The sequence below is a fragment of the Homo sapiens genome, chromosome 1 (genome assembly GCF_000001405.40).
Source record: "Homo sapiens chromosome 1, GRCh38.p14 Primary Assembly".
NCBI classification, from domain to species: domain Eukaryota; kingdom Metazoa; phylum Chordata; class Mammalia; order Primates; family Hominidae; genus Homo; species Homo sapiens.
Window position 1 is genome coordinate 99924087 of NC_000001.11, and position 17687 is coordinate 99941773.

A 17687-nucleotide genomic window follows, 5' to 3' on the forward strand; every position below is an offset into this window, starting at 1 on the left:
TTGTAGAGACAGGATTCTACACTATGTTCCCTAGGTTGGTCTCAGCCTCCTGGCCTCAAGTGATCCTCCTGCCTCAGCCTCCTAGAGGCAATTAATTTGTCAGTGCTGACCAGAGTCATTTATTCAGTGCTTGCCTACTTTAGGTGCTTACCTTTTTGCAGGAGGCAGAGAGGAGGAAGAATTTTAGACTGTTTTGATTATTTATTTCATTAGGCATGTTGAAATTAGGAGCAAAATCAACTTCCAATGTATAAATCTGTTAGAAACTATACACTTCTGGTGACAATGGGCCTCCTGGAAAAATAAAAATAATTTTTTTAAAATAAATAAAAATAAGCTGCACACTTTCCTGGTACTTCTTGAAACCTTTTACTCAAGTGTGAATTTTTAATTTACCTTTGATCAACTTACAGTAAACACTACAGGCCAGAAGACATATATACGTTGCCTCCTAAAGTAGCCAAAATTTTTTTACTTTTCATTGTATTACTGAATAATATACATATTTATAGAAAAGCATCTAATGACCAAAGTTGATCAGTTTGGTCTTTGCCTTAGTTTCTGTTGGTTTCTTTTTACTGCAGATATGCATATCTTCATCTTCAGATAAAAGATATTAACCTAAAAATCCAAACCTGTAACTACCACAGCAAACTTGCCAAAATTACTTACATAGAACCTCAATGTGCCAATATAATAAACTCATGGAATTTGCTTAGTAGTTGTTGGTTCCCTCCCCCAACCCCCCCAATTTGTATGAGCCTTGAATTATAGAGTAGTGCTAATACTTTGTCATTCTGGCTGTAGTTATTTTGGTTAGAGCAGGGGTTTTGTTTTTGTTTTTTTAAAGAGTCTTGCTTTGCTGCCCAAGCCTGATGACAGACAGCTCATTACAGCCTCAACCTCCTGGGCTCAAACTACCCTCCCACCTCAGCATCCCAAGTAGCTAGGATGACAGGCGTACAACTACTGCACCCACCTAACTTTTGCATTTCTTTTTTTGTAGAGATGGGGGTCCACACTGTGTTGTCTAGGCTGGTCTCAACCTCCTGGGCTCAAACTACCCTCCCACCTCAGCATCCCAAGTAGCTAGGATGACAGGCGTACAACTACTGCACCCACCTAACTTTTGCAATTCTTTTTTTGTAGAGATGGGGGTCCACACTGTGTTGTCTAGGCTTGGTCTCAACCTCATGGGCTCAAGCAATCCTCCCACCTCAGCCTCCCAAAGTGCTGATTATATAGGCGTGACCATTTCTGGCCAGCTTTTTTCTTTAATCAGATCTTTCAGCACTTGCCTCCACGTTTGTAATCTCTACTGTCTCCTCAAAATTTACATCAGTCTCAATAATAACCATTGTTTCTATTTCCAGTTTTATTTTTTTTATAAGTGCATGTGGTATGAGATGAGACATTACTTAGGCTTTTTTTTCCAAATTGTTAAATCCCAAACTTATAAGTTGAATATGATTTATGGGAAGTCCTTTTTTAATCTTGCATTATTCTTTACTAGTAGGGTCTACTTCTAGAATATACTGTTTTCTGTGCCCATTCACCTATTTCACTATTACAGTTTTTGTTTTAATATTTGTTAGAGCATTTTGTCACCACGTTTTTCTCTCATCGGTTCCCTCGTCTTCTTTTTCAGAATCTTATTTATTCCCACCTATTCTTTGTATGTATTTTTCCAAATCCAAAAAGTATTCTCAGCATTTTTACTAAACAAGCCCTCATACTATTAATTTGATAACAACAGACATATTGACATTATTTAATCTTAAAACATAAGCTATTTATTTAAAAATTTTTAGCTTGTTGGAATTCTTCCTAATTTTTATGTTTATGATTGCTGTGGTCCATTTTGGTTCAATTTGGTGGTCAATTGGTCAGAATCGAAAATTCAGATTCAAGAAACATTTATGGAGCCCCTACTATATAAGCAATTTTACATTGGAGGTATTATATCCCTTTTGTAAATCAGAACATTGATAATCTTACCATAAATCACATAGTGGATAAATTGTTGGACCCAAGACTCAAACTCTGATTTTCCTACCACAAATCCTCTTACACAAACCCTCAAGATTGCTGTCTTCTGTGCTTGCCCTCCTGCTTCCTGCAACCATCAACCCACAGGACCCACTGTTGATATTATCGGTTTCCCATGGAAAGCATTTAGGTCTGTTCTCCTTGGGCCTAGGTATACTTCCTTATTATTACCTGGCCAAAATTCTGTATCTGCAGCCATCTGCACTAATCAGATAACCCCATGTGTTCCTGGCTAAATGTGTAGACTTGGTGCCAAGCATGGGCTAGGTTATACAAGTAGGATAAATTTGGAAATATAAGTATCTTATCAAGGACAGTGAAACAGAAAAGTCAGAGACAACAGGAAGTGTTAATAATTAAGAGAAGGCCAACTGGTTAAAGTTGGTCCAAAGGAATTTCGGCCAAAAAGTGGGGCCCATGCCCATGCATTTTTAATACCAAAGGAAACAATCTATGGAAATTCACTAAAAAATATGGCACTTAATTCTGCAAGTGTTCAATGTTAATATATTTATTGTAATGGATATATTTTCAAAGTACAAAACTGAGCACTAAGTCTTATTAGATATCTTTTTTACCACATAAAGGAGCAGTACTCCAAAAATGATTTATCTTGGCTCCCACATCACATTCAATGGATCACAAAGTCTTTTCACTTTTACCTGACTGCAGATTTCTACTCGTACTCTTATCTTGTGCATAGATTAACACAATAATCTTTAAATTGATCACAATTTATCCCTCATGGAACTATGAGGAAAACCTTTCTTGAACACTGATGCTGTCCATCACTGGTCAGAGGACATTGAGGATTCGCTATGATTTGGCCTCAGTCTCTTTCCAGTCCTATTGTCTTAGTGTCTCCTTGCTGTTTCCAAAGCTGATTACTTGCCTCCCTGAAACTTTGTTTCTTCAATTGTAAAAACAGTGACTGTAACATCTGTGGGTAGTAAGAATTCACGAGGGCAACCCATAGTGTATTTAAGTTTCACTGCCTATAATAGAACCTAAATAACAATGGTCTACATAAGATAAATGTCGAAGGTGTGCACCCCAGATTTGATATGATGGTTCCATTGTCATCAAGAACCAAAGCTAGCATTTAATGACATAGAATATTCAAGAACTTCTCAAATATTTCTTTTAATATGAGCTTATTGTCTCTTAGATATTATAAGCAGGGGTAGACAATAATCTGTTTACTTTTTGTAATGTTTTTAGCGGCAGAGTCTCACTCTGTCACCCAGACTGGAATGCAGTGGTATGATCATAGTTTACTACAGCCTCCAACTCCTGGGCTCAAGTGATCCTCCTGCCTCAGCCTCTCAGAGAGCTGGCACTACAGCCATGTGCCACCAAGCCTGGCTAATTTTTAATATTTTGTAGATATAAGGCTTCACTGTGTTGCCCAGGCTGGCCTCAAACTCCTGAACTCAAGCGACCCTCTAGCCTCAGCCTCCCAAAGTGTTGGGATTACAGGCATGAGCCACTGCACCCAGCCTATTTATTTTAACAATAGGGGAAACAACTCAAATTTTACATCATCTAAATTGATGGCAAATTTTAAGGCTTGGCTAAAATAACAAATTTTCTCACCTAAAAAAAAAATCTGTAATTTTATACTTAAACTCTAAAGAAGCAGAAGAGCTATTACTGAAGTCTTTACTAATAAAGCAAGATAGAATTTTATAGGAATTTTTGTTCGTTTTGGTTTGGTTGATTTTAATTCTACTTTGGTCTTTCTCATCATTGGACAACGTGGGGAAATGTATTTCAGACAAATAAATGAACTAGCTTGCAATAAATAGAGTGTGACTGTTTGATAGACTTCCCTTCTTTCTGAATGTCTACAAAAGATAAGCTTTTTTATTTTCTTTAAGCAACTTCAAAGCATTAACTCTTAGACCTAGAGATCGGTTTCCTTTTTTTTTTTTTTTTTGAGATAGAGTCCCACTGTTTTTCCTAGGCTGGTCTTGAATGCCTGAGCTCAAGCAATCCTCCTGCCTCAGCCTCCCTCAGCCTTCAGAGTAGCTGGGATTACAGGCATGCAACCCACATCTGGCTAGAGATCTATTTCTATTAGAGATTCACTTACTGGAATTCAGCTCTGCATACTCAGAAATAAGCAAATATATGCTTCCCTGGGGGGGTCTTCATTTCTGTGTGTTTCTCATAATGTCATTGTTCCACTGAGCCAATTGTGAGTCCAGTGTTTAAAAATATACCATTTCCATAAGACACAGTTCCCTAAACCAGTGCTTCCAACCCTTTACATGTTATAGAACACATGTAAAAAGGTAAGCTTGGACTGAGTGTGGTGGCTCACGCCTGTAATCCCAGCACTCTGGGAGGCCAAGGTGGGAGGATTGTTTGGGCCCAGGAGTTTGAGACCAGCCTGTGCAATATAGTGAGACCCCCATCTCCACAAAAAAATTTAAAAATCAGTCAGGCATGGTTGTGCACACCTGTGGTCCCAGCTACTTGGGAGGCTAAGGCAGGAGGCTCACTGGAGCCCAGGAGGTCAAGGCTTCAGTGAGCTGTAATTGCACCACTGCACTCCAGTCTGGAAGACAGTGCCAGACCCTGTCTTTAAAAAAAAAAAAAAATTATATATATATAGCTTGGGAGGCTGAGACAGTGAGACAGGAACAGGAAGATCACTTGAGCCCAGGAGTTCAAAACCACCCTGGGCAATAAAACCCCATCTCTACTAAAAAGTTTAAAAATTTGTTTGGTGTGGTGGCACACACCTGTGGTCCCAGCTACTAAGGAGGCTGAGGTGGGAGGATCACTTGAGTCCGGGAGGTCAAGGCTGCGGTGAGCTATGATCATGCCACTACCTTACAGCCTGGGTGACAGAGCGAGACCCTGTCTCAGAAAAACACACAAGAAAAAGACTGGGCTTAGTGGCTCACATCTGTATCCTAGTACTTTGGGAGGCTGAGACTGATGGATCACTTAAGGTCACGAGTTTGAGACCAGCCTGGCCACCGTGGTGAAACCTTGTCTCTACTGAAAATACAAAAACTAGCTGGGCATGGTGGCACACACCTGTAGTCCCAGATACTTGGGAGGCTGAGGCAAGAGAATTGCTTGAACCCAGGAGGTGAAGGTTACAGTGAGTTGAGATCCTGCTATTGCACTCCAGCCTGGGTGACAGAGTGAGACTCTGTCTCAAAACAACAACAACAAAAAGATAATTAGCATACTGTGGTAAAAGAGAGGTGGATACTTCTGGCTGGTGACAAACAGCCAGAGACGCGTTGCCTAAAGAGCTAAGGAAAACTGTTTCATCACTCCTGTAACCCATTCATCATAGAGTCCTACATGGGTTGGGAAGCTGCCCCCAACACAGAGATCAATTACTATATCTTGTGCCCAATCTAAGGAAGAACAAACCACTTACAATTAAAGGAGAAATTGTTATGTTGGACTTAAGGGGATAGTTTATCAGTTTTCAGCCTATAAATTTCTTTTGTTGTTTTGTTTGTTTTCTTTCAGTGAATGGAATATAAATTTCTTATGGAATGTTTAAGTATAATTGCTTTCCTAGAGAAAAAGAAATTGTGTTTTGAAACATAATATATGCATTTTTAAAGAACAACAATTAAGTGAACAGCATGAACCCACCACAGAGTTGAAAACGAAGACAAATATCCTGCCCCTATTTTAGACAATACTACAGCCAAGCAAAGATAGTAGCTGTTTATTTCACAAATTCCTGTCTAGGAAGATGAGACTGTAAACCAACTAAAACAGCTAGCTCACCAGTATTTTTCTGATAATTATCTTGCTCATCAAGATTTATTTTAAAACACTTGCCTCATTTTGTCCACCAATACAAAGCTATTATTTTTAAACTCTGCCTAATCCCAACCAGCTCCATCTTGCAATACCTGCCTTAAAAATCACCCAGCCATGTTCCAAAACTCTGTAAATACCTTTCCCTAACTTACCCCTTCTGAGAAAATACCAAGATTTTGTTAAGATGGTATTTTTCCTTGCAGCAATATTTAAGACGTGACCAACAGATTTTTCTGGAGGTATTTTATGGGAGATTTTTACAGAGCTTTAGAAGATAACCTTACCAGTATCACTAAAGTGCACTGCCTGCCCCTCCAAATTAGATTCCCTCTCTGCCACTGGTGGATTCTCCCTCCTGATTTTATGTTAGTTATTTTCCTAATTATCTCTATAGTGTTATATATGTATATCTTAATATACGATTTAGTTTTGCCTGTTTTAACCGTTATATATTTGGAATTCTATTATTTCTAATCTTTTTAAATTTAATTTTTGTAACATATTATGTTCTTGAGATTTATTCCCATTGATGAGTGCAGCTTGTGGCTCATTTTTCTTCTCTGCCATAGTTGATTCCATTGTTTGAATAAACCACAATTTATACATCCCTTCAAACGATTCTCTATAAGAAAATAACACCAACTTTAGTCTCTTTTTTCAATTTAAAAATAAATTTTCCAATATCTTTTTTTTTTCTTAATAGAGATGGGTTTCACTATGTCGCCCAGGCTGGTCTTGAACTCCTGGCCTCAAGGGATCCCCTCCCCCTCAACCTCGGCCTCCCAAAGTGCTGGGATTACAGACATGAGCCACCATGCCTGGCCAGCTTTAGGCTGTACAGTTCTTTTGTTCACAATATGTGGCATATTACCCAAAATAAAGAAACATTTGAAGAGAAAAGCAACTGTGATAAATAATCAAAAGAAAAAACAGACGAGATGCAGATCAAAATGATGCACTTGCAGAGGTTAGCTGATAGGCCTTTTCAAATAAGATTATAGACATGTTAAAAAATAAGAGAAGGAAATGGTGGCTTACACCTGTAATCCCAACACTTTGGGAGGCAAAAGCAGGAGGATTGCTTGAAGCCAGGAGCTCAAGACCAGCCTGAGCAACATAGGGAGACCCTGTCTCTAAATTAGTAAATAAAGGAAAACACAGAGAATTCCAAAAGAGAATTGGAATCTATATAAAAGTATCAGAAGGACATTCTAGAACTGAAAAATATTAATCTGAAATTAAGAATTTATATATAGAGTAGTTTTAACAGCAGACTGAGTGCTACAAGTAATGAAATCAAAGGCCAATCAATTAAAAATATCGAAACTAATGTAAAAAGAGAAAAATAACGGAAAGAACCAAGCACCGCTTGTGAGACACATGGGACAGTGTCAAACAGTCTCACACACTTGTAATTGGAGTCTCAGAATCAAGGAAAATGATAACAATGACTGAGAGTTTTTGAAAACTATTTATTGCTCACATTTTACCCCATCTGTCTTATTTTCTTAATTATTCCTCTTCACACACACGCACAGTACAGTTAACTCCAGTAAATTTAACATTGATGAAACTTTCATCAAATACACCTTCTAATTTCAGTGTTGTCAGTTCACTGAATAATGTCCTCCATAGCTTATTTTCCGTCGAGTACAGGGTCCAGTTAAGATCAGGTGTGGCATGCAATTGTCATCTCTTTAGTTCCCTTTAATCAGGAATATTTCCACAATATTTCTTTGTCATTTATGACATTTTTGAAGAAAAAAAGTTACCCCACCTCTTACCAAAAGAATATTCTTCATTTTGGGTTTATATGAAACATTCAGAAAGGCAAATACATAGACACAAAGAGCAGATTAATGGTTGCCTGGGGATTAGAATGGGAAGGGAAGAGGGAGTGACTGCAGTTGGGCATAAGCTTTTTTGTGGGGATGATTGAAATGTTCTACCATTAGATTTTGGTTTTTGTTATATAACTTTGAAAATTTACTAAAAATCATTCATGTATATACTTTAAATGGGTGAACTTTTTGGTAAGGAAATTAATTTCAATAAAACTTATTTTTTTTTTTTGAGACGGTGTCTCACTGTGTAGCCCAGACTGGAGTGCAGTGGCGCGATCTCGGCTCACTGCAACCTCCGCCACCCGGGTTCACGCCATTCTCCTGCCTCAGCCTCCCGAGCAGCTGGGACTACAGGCGCCCACCACCACTCCCAGCTAATTTTTTGTATTTTTAATAGAGATGGGGTTTCACTGTGTTAGCCAGGATGGCCTTGATCTCCTGATCTCGTGATCCACCCGCCTCAGCCTCCCAAAGTCCTGGGATTACAGGCGTGAGCCACCGCGCCTGGCCACTTTTTTTTTTTTTTGAGACAGAGTCTGGCTCTGTCGCCCAGGCTGCGATCTCGGCTCACTGCAAGCTCCACCTCCCGGGTTCACGCCATTCTCTTGCCTCAGCCTCCCAAGAAGCTGGGACTACAGGCACCCGCCACCATGCCTGGCTAATTTTTTGTGTTTTTAGTAGAGATGGGGTTTCACCGTGTTAGCCAGGATGGTCTTGATCTCCTGACCTCAGGATCCACCGCCTTGGCCTCCCAAAGTGCTGGGATTACAGGGGTGAGCCACCACTCCCGGCCCAATAAAGCTTTTTTAAAAAGTTAGATGCAGAGAGAAGAAAATATCAGAAAAACTATGATTAATATCCTCTAAGGTATAGGAGGAGATATTGCATTCAGGAAACAAGAACAGGATGCTATTGTTAAAAAAGGAACACCTGGGGACATAAAAAGAGCTCTTAGATATTGAAAACTCCAGCAGAAACAAAGAATTATACAATAAAGTTCAAGAACTTTCCCAGGGGAGCCAGGATGATGTTGAAGGGAGATCTCAAGGTGACATTTGTAGAGTGGACCTAGAGATCAACCAGTGCAGATTGGAGCTATCCAAGGAAGAGGGTTCTCTAAGTCATTAAAATTGATGGGATACCTAGTGCGTTTGAACTTTTAAGAGGATTCCTAGGTAAAGAAGTAGGGCTAGATTGTTCCTAAGTACTTAGAAAACTAAGCAAGCAATAACAAAAATAGATATTTAACAATAGAGGAAATAACGTTTTGCAGAAAAGGAAAGGTAATTAAAGTATACCATATGGCTCAGCTGTTAATAAAACTTAAAAGAGTTATTAGTACCATAAATGGTGAATTTTTATTATAGCAAAGTTATGATGAAGTTATACTGACTGGACTGGGGATGGAAAATGTGTTTGCCGTAGAGGCTAGGAGGAATGGGAAGGTGTGTGTGAAAGATAATTAAATGGACATCTTCCATAAAAGTCAATAAGTAATGCCTAAAATTGAAAAAAGAAAAAAACAAGAAATAGCAATATAAACATGTTACATAGCAACATGCAGGTAATACCCAAAACAATCAGTTCAGATATGAAATGGCTGGAAGAACATGAAAGATCAGTAGAAGTTGGGGCTGACTGGGTGAACTGGTGTTTGGGGAACAAAACTTACAGATCTCTTAATACTGTGGGCAAGGAAGCTTTGATGAAAATAAAAAAAATAGGCCAGGTGCAGTGGCTCACGCCTGTAATCCCAACACTTTGGGAGGCAAAAGGCAGGTGGATTGCTTGAGGTCAGGAGTTTGAGACCAGCCTGGGTAACATGGTGAAACCCCATCTCTACTAAAAATACAAAAATTAGCCAGGCTTGGTGGCACAGGCTTGTGATCCCAGCTACTTGAGAGGCTGAAACACAAAAATAGCTTGAACCCGGGAGGCAGAGTTTGCAGTGAGCCAAGATCAGGCCACCGCACTTCAGCCTGGGCAACAGAACGAGACGCTGCCTCCAAATAAATAAATAAATAAATAAATAAAAATTTAAAATAAAATTACATGAAATTAAAAATTGAACCTAGAGAAGAAAAAAGAAATACTGGTCCGTATTAGGAAAACACAGGGACATTTCTGCCTTCAAGACATCTGGCTCTGGTTGTTCTTAAGAAGCCAAAGAGATGTATATTTCTATTAAATTATGTACATCAAGGGTGATTTTAATAAAAAGATCCAGTAACAGAAAATTACTAATGTCCTCATTTCTGAAATGATGTTCAGGAAACTTCCATTTCATGAGCAGGTGAAGAAGAGGAACCCACAAAGGAGATAAAATCTGAGTTTTAGGTTCCCCTCTGCAAGGTAGGAAAATAGACACTCACTTTATGATATTGCCAAAAGGATTTCCTTCTTTGCCAAGTTTTAAGTTCCCAAATTTTATCTTCTTTACCTCGTTTTAGAAGAGAATGAGAGAAAGAAAAGGCAATGAATGGCAGTGTACTGGTGCCTGGTGAGACATTCTCCTTTTTAACTAAGCAGTATTCCTTTCTGCTTTTTCTTTCCTCAAATCCAAATCCTTGGAGATAGGAATCCAGCACTAATAACTTTCAAGCCCCCTAGGGGAGTCTAATTAACTGTTAGGGTTGAGACCACTGCATCAATGGAAGTCAGGATTCTGAAGCCAACAAGTTTGACTACCAAAATAAATCAAATATTTTCTGTCATCTTGCCTTTTTTGCCTTTTATACAAAATGTTTACAAACCTGTGATCATATACAGATAACAATTTCATACCCAGATATTCATTTTCAACAGGTATACAATTATTTCATTATGTATCATATGAGAATTAATTTGTTCTAAGGGAAAAGTTCCAGGTGTAACACTTCTAGCTCTGTGTTCATGTACATGAAAACTGAGGTTCACAAGAATTAAATGACTTACAAATAAAATGAATATCATACCTTAGGAATCTCGAGATATGAGAATGAATACTCTCATATCTCAGGAAAGGAATAGTCACAGGAATCTAAGAATTAAGTGAAACAATCTGTCTAAAAATACCAATTTAAAAATAGCATTCATATAAGATGGATTATTCCATTAGAACAGTGATTTTCAGCCAGGTGTGGTGGCTCATGCCTGTAATTCCAGCACTTTGGGAGGCCAAGCTGAGAATCCCTTGAGGCTAGGAGTTCAAGACCAGCCTGAGCAACATCACTAGACCCTGTCTCAAAAAAATTTTTTTAATTAGCCAGGTGTGGTGACATTTGCCTGTAGTTCTAGCTACTCAGAAGCCTGAGGCTAGAGGATTGCTTGAGCCCAGTAGTTAAAGGTTACAGTAAGCTATGATCACACCACTGCACTCCAACCTGGGTGACAGAGCAAGACCCTATCTCTATTAATAAAACAAAATTAATAAATTGCCTCTCTGGAGAGATTTACCAATATCTGGAGACAATTTTAATTGTCACAGCAGAAGAGTGCTACTTGCCTCTAGTGTGTTGCTAAACATCCTATACAGCATAGGACAGGTCCTCACAGTAAAAAATTATTGCAGCCCAAAATGCCAACAGTATTGAGGTTGAGAAACCCTGTACTAGAATACATTAATATTTAAAACACAAAATAAGTGACTTTTATATCTCAGTATTACCTTTATAATCTCCAAAATTACTTCTATCTTTCAGTAAAATGAATATTCACCACATTAATAATTGGCTGAATAATTGGTTATATTGAAAGCAAAAAGACATGGCTTTGAAGCAGCAGCGAGAGTTTAAGCTTGGTTTAAAGCATCAAAAGGGCCACTACTCTTTTTGAGAAGTTTCCTGGTTAGAATTTACTAAAACCTAATATATTTTTCTTTACATGGGGCCCTAAGACTCATCCTATTCTTGGATGCATTACTAAGGTACTCACTCTCATTCAACCACTACCTAATGACATGACATAAATGACTCAGAATGCCCTTATGATAGAGGCAGGAGGCAGACAAATGCCTAAGCAGATAGGGACAGGTCCTCAGTGAAACCCTACCTCCAAGCAGAAGACAGTTTAAAGCCTGAAAACCAAGCTACAAGTCAAATCCATGGACCAGATTGAGAACCTGTCTTCCCATTTGACATGCTTTTCTCTGATCCCCAAGCTTCACCTACTTTACATATACCTACCCTTTCCTAATTGGTTTTCTACACTGCCATGCCCACCTTTGAGTGGTGCCTTTCTTTGCATACTCACAAACCAATCAGCACACACTCCCTTATTTTGAGCCCATAAAAGCCCTGGACTCAGCCACACTGGGAGAGAAACCACCTGACTGCAAGGATGGGGGACCACCCCCATTGTCCCCTCCCCACTGAAAGCTTTTCCATCACTCAATAAAATTCTTGTTCACCCTCTTCACCCTTCAAATTGTCAGTGTATCCTCATTCTTCTTGGATGCAGGAGAAGAGCTCGGGAACTGCCTAATGCGGGTATAAGTCATAACACAAGCAGGCCGAGTGGGCAGGGTGCCTCCAGCAGCAGGCCCAGGGCCAAGCAAGGCCCAGGCAGTCAGGGGGCAGCACCAGCTGTGGATGTCCTCAGTCAGCAAAGTGGCTGAGAAAAATCCTGCAACACTTAGAAATGGAGTACACTTTACATGGAACACTGGAGGTCAAACTTCTGCCAAATCCATCAAACCATTCAACAGGCCTGTGAGAGCCACAGCATCAAACCCAAGACTACTACACAATCTAATGTCTTGACAAAAGTAAGTCAGATGGTGGAAAGGCTACATGCTGTGTGTTAAAGACTGCTTCCTGATCTAACATGTTTAAAATTCCAAAAATTGTTCATAGGTGCTATGTTTTATTGACATTTAACTTGGAAATGCATTTACCAGCTGGTTGCCATAACTTCCTTCCTACCCTGGAGGCAGAGGTTGTGGTGAGCTAAGATCGCACCATTGCACTCCAGCTGGGCAACAAGAGCGAAACTCCGTCTCAAAAATATATACGTATATTTTTTTTTCTCAGAAATGAAAATTTCCTTTCCTTTTGGACCAATATTGACCATATTTCTTTTTTTTTTCTTTTTTTTTTTTTTTTTTTGAGACAGGGTCTTGCTCTGTTGCCTAGGCTGGAGTACAGTGTTGCAATCATAGCTCAATGTAGCCTCAAACTCCTGGGCTCAAGTAATCCTCCTGCCTCAGCCTCCTGAGTAGCTAGGACTATAGGCACATGCCATCATTTCTAGATAATTTTTTTTTATTTTTTAATTTTTTGTAGAAATGGGGTCTTGCTTTATTGCTCAGGCTGGTCTCAAATTCCTAGACTCAAGCGTTTCTCTTGTTTCAGCTTCCCAAATCACTGGGATGATAGGCATGAGCTACTGTGCCCGGCCATGTGGGTGTTTTTGAATAATAAATGTAAAGGAACTCCAAATCAAGCATTACTTTTATATTCATGACATTGAGATTTGTGTATAAAAGAAAACAGTTATAGATTATCATACAGATATTTGTTTCCCATTTCTCCTTAATTGGGGATCTCAGGTCATTATGATTCAAAATTCAAAACATGGGAAAAACAGACAGACTTATCCTTAGAAGTTAAATTGATCTACTTAATTGTAGAAAAGTGAAGACTTTCCCTCTCTACCCTCTGAGAGTTCAATAACTCAGCCTCTGAAACATACTAACAACAGGCAAATTAATAAGAGAAAAGGTATATAAATTGATTACATGTGTGGTGGCATCACAGGAAGAAAAGTACCTGAAAAACCGGGAGATTTAGGAGCTTATATACCCTCTACATAGGCGAGAAGGAAGCCAGGGATGTAGCCAATTTCAGGCAGAGTAAATGATTTTGGGAAAAGATGAATGGCCCTTAGAAGAACAGATGATCGTTTGTGACATTTGTCTAAGTGTGGTGTGGGCTTCTAGTCTCTTCTCTTGTGATTGAGATAAGCTTCACTGGTGGATGAAACTCCTGGAAGAGTTTCACTGATGGAAAATTGATGACAAATTGAGTTCCTTTGCGGTATCTATCTTTAGACAGATAAGGGGAGTTCAGAGAAAGCGTCTCCCTGCATATACTGTTTTCAAGTGTCTTCAGCTCAAAGTATTACACCAAAGCACCATATTTTGGGGCGGCATTTCCTGAACCCCTTCATAAAGAATTGGAGAAGATTGAGAAAATAGAGAGCAGAGTTTCTGTGGAGTTAGATGCTAAGGGTAATCAGGCTGGGTTCACTTCACCCCACCCAGCCGCCCCGATTAGATGAATGTTTTTGTCTTCTCTCAATTCTCTGAGTCTTGCTGTCTAGGATCAGCCTTCAGAACAAGTGTTCAGTAATATTTCTCTGAAAGAAAATGAAAGTCACAGGTCATGGTCAAACTTCCATTTAACTCTAACCTTTAGCAAGAGATGCAACCAAAAAAAAAGCTGATAATTCAGTTTAAGTCCCTTTAAAATAACCTTGCACACTGAAGAGTAGCAGGATATGCCACCCCAAAATATGCCAGCTTGGCATAAGGATTATTTTGAAAGGTGCAGCAAGAATAGTGATTGATTATACAGGCTCTTTTGAAGTCTGCTTTGCTGCAAGTTTCAATAAAGAATTTCAGATTGGAGTTTTAAAAGCCCCTCAAGTATAGGAAGCCACACCAAGGACTCACCAACAGATGTCTCTTCTCAAGGTTCCCCAAATATTCTGAAGTTCCTGGGCCTGCCAGAAAGTGATCTTTCTCCCCAGTAAGGTTAGGAACTCCATAGGCAAGGTACAAAGCCAGTTGTTTTCAAGGGGCTTTATTGGTTCCATAAAGTCAATCTTAATTCCTTAAAACTGTCTGTCTTATCTGGGGTTTTGTTTGTTTTTTGAATCTCGCTCTGTCGCCCAGGCTGAAATGCAATGGCGCAATCTCGGCTCACTGCAACCTCTGCCTCCCAGGTTCAGGTGATTCTCCTGCCTCAGCCTCCTGAGTAGCTGGAACTATAGGCTTGCGCCACCACGCCCAACTAATTTTTGTATTTTTAGTAGAGACGAGGTTTCACCATAATGGCCAGGCTGGTCTGAAACTCCTGACCTGGTGATCTGCCCACCTCAGCCTCCCAAAGTGCTGGGATTACAGATGGGAGCTACTGCGCCCAGCCTGTTGTGTCTGTTTTTAAGCATATCATTCACAAATGTGACATCTGAGTCAAAGTCTTGGTAATATAACTACTTCTATTTGTGCCTTGTTGCAAGGAGAAAAAGTTCTTATTGAACTTAGGTGAATAACTGTGTTGTCATGAAATAAGAATATTTGATAAGAGATTCTGATTCTGGAGGGATCAGGTATGGAGAAAAAGATAAACGTTTTGTTTTGTTTTTCATTTAAAAGTGTATAACCTACCAAATTGCAGTAAGTTATAGATGATTGAAGAAAGTAAGAGAAAAAGGGTTTCTTTAAATTTGGAAAATGGCCAGGTGTGGTGGCTCACACCTGTAATCCTAGCACTATGGGAGACTGAGGTGGGAGGATCACTTGAGGCCAGGAGTCTAAAACTGGGCAACAAAGTGAGATTTTGTCACTTCGAAAAATTAAAAAAATTAGCCAGGCATGGTGGCACACTCCTATAGTCCTAGCTACTTGGAAGGCTGAGTGGGGAGGATGGCTTGATTCCGGGAGTTCCAGGCTACAGTGAGCAGTGATTGCTCCACTGCACTTCAGCCTGGGTGACGGGAATCCCTGTCTCAAAAAAAAAAAAAAAAAAAAGCCTGGAAAATAAAACGCTGAAGAACCAGAAATATTTCAAACAAAATAGCATAGATATTGTAATCATCCTCATCAGTTCACTTAATCCCATGTAACTAATTCTTGTTGTTGTTGTTGCTGAGACAGTCTTGCTCTGTCGCCCAGGCTGGAGTGCAGTGGTGCGATCACAGCTCGATGCAACCTCTGCCTCCCGGGTTCAAGCAATTCTCACGTCTCAGCCTCCCAAGTAGCTGGGATTATGGGCACCCATCACCTTGCCTGGCTAATTTTTGTATTTTTAGTAGAGGTGGGGTTTCACTATGTTGGCCAGGCTGGTCTCAAACTCCTGGCCTCAAGTGATCCACCCACCTGGGCCCCCCAAAGTGCTGGGATTATAGGTGTGAGTCAACGTGCTGGGTCCCCGTGTACCTAGTTCTTGTTTTACTTGATCTTGGTTTAACAGTCTTACATATCAATCGGTTTCTTTATTAGTGTTTTGAAAATTCTTACCGAGTCCAGTGGTATGACCTTAAAGTTTTCAGAAATCTGTGCTTGTCAGAGTTTTTTCCATGAATCCTTTGAAAAGAAAATACGTTCAAATTATAGGTGTTTGCAGGAATTATAGGAAGGCATCTTATTAAACAAATTAACTGTCTGCAGAAGACAAAAGACTTAAAATGTTGATGCTTTAAGACCTAATGAGAGCTCATTATAATGCAATTGACAAGAAAATTTGGTTATTTTTGTGACATATCACTTTAAGATAACTAGAATTATGACTTATACTAGGACATATCAAATTTCCAGGAATTTTATGCATTTCTGGAAGACTTATATTAATAATATATACCTATATAAATATAGCATAAAGGAGGTTAAGCATCACTTCTTACTTGACAATGCTTCCCATTTGCTTAAACTTATCAAGGAAGCTTGATTAGCTTAAGATCTTTCTTTTAATAAGGAAAGAACAAACCTGGGCAACAAAGTGAGATCCTATGTCTGCAACAAATTAAAAAATTAGGCAGGCATGGTGGTATGCACCTGTAGTCCCTAGGTGCTTGGGAGGCTGAGGCAGGAAGATCACTTGAACCTAGGAGTTTGAAGCTGCAGTGAGCTGTGATCACACCATTGCACTCCGGCCTGGGCAACAGAATGAGACCCTGTTTCACACAAAAAAGGGCCAGGCACAGTGGCTCATGCCTGTAATCTCAGCACTTTGGGAGGCCAAAGCAGGAGGATCACCTGAGCTCAGGAGTTTTAGACCAGTATGGGCAACATAGTGAGAACTTGTCTCTGCAGAAAATTTTAAAAATAATAATAATACAGAAAAAAAGATTTTTTTAAAAAAGAACAAATTTTTTCTGAGATTTTCCAGGGGCCCTGAAAATCCCAGTTATTAATTAGTTTGAGGTCAAAATTTAGATTTTGATTTTGGGAAGTTTGTAAAAAAATGTCAAAAAGGTTAAAGACTTGTTTAAAATAGAATCACAGGTCACTGTGAAAAAATACTTAGTTATCATTTAATCAAAGTGGCAACTGAAAGACTTCAAAGGCAAAATACAGAAAACTGTAGCTGTAGGAAAAACCTTACCTCTCCTAATAGAGAATGCTCAGTTTCCTTAAGTAATCAAAGATTTGATAAAGACAACATGAAACATAGAAAATTACTTTGATAATGGCTGGGCGAGGTGGCTCATGCCTCTAATCCCAGCACTTTGTGAGGCCCGGCGGGGCGGATCACCCAAGGTCAGGAGTTAGAGACAAGCCTGGCCAACATGGTGAAACCCCATCTCTACTAAAAATACAAAAATTAGCCGGGCATGGTGGCGCATGCCTGTAATCCCAGCTACTCTGGAGGCTGAGGCAGGAGAACTGCTTGAATCCGCTGAGAGGCGGAGGTTGCAGTGAGCCATGAGCATGTCACTGCACTCTGGCCTGGGCGACAGAGTGAGACTATGTCTCAAAAAAAAAAAAAAAAAAGAAAATTACTTTGATAAGACAAAAAAACTTTGTTTTCTAGGCAGATTATTTAAAACGTAAAGAAAACCTTTTACAATCTTTTACCAAGAAGAGATCAATACTACAAGAAATCTTTGTCATTTTAACAGAGAGAAGACCAATTTTTAGTTTTGCATTAGTGTATGGTATTTTGATGTTGAGTCATTTCAGACCCTTATAATAAGTTCATTCAATGGTAGTCAACTTGACCACACAAGATTCTCTCTTCCCAATTTTCTATATCAATTTTTTGTCCTTCATTCTCCTTTTACATTCTG

At 39.4% G+C, this 17687-nt stretch overlaps 1 long non-coding RNA gene across 9 annotated transcripts in view; it reads right to left on the reverse strand.

Annotated features, from left to right (window-relative positions):
- Positions 1-17687, reverse strand: part of LOC124904230 (uncharacterized) — a 124812-nt gene that overhangs the window by 10890 nt on the left and 96235 nt on the right. For 3 of the 9 annotated variants that reach the window (XR_007066249.1, XR_007066245.1, XR_007066244.1), the window contains 4 exons: positions 15919-15984; positions 13445-14033; positions 10070-10137; positions 152-294 (listed from right to left, as the gene is read on the reverse strand). This is a non-coding gene — a long non-coding RNA (uncharacterized LOC124904230). Of the gene's footprint in view, positions 1-151; positions 295-5448; positions 5599-10069; positions 10138-13444; positions 14034-15918; positions 15985-17687 lie in introns of those variants that run through there. The other 6 variants (XR_007066246.1, XR_007066248.1, XR_007066251.1 and 3 more) reach the window with 6 other exon arrangements.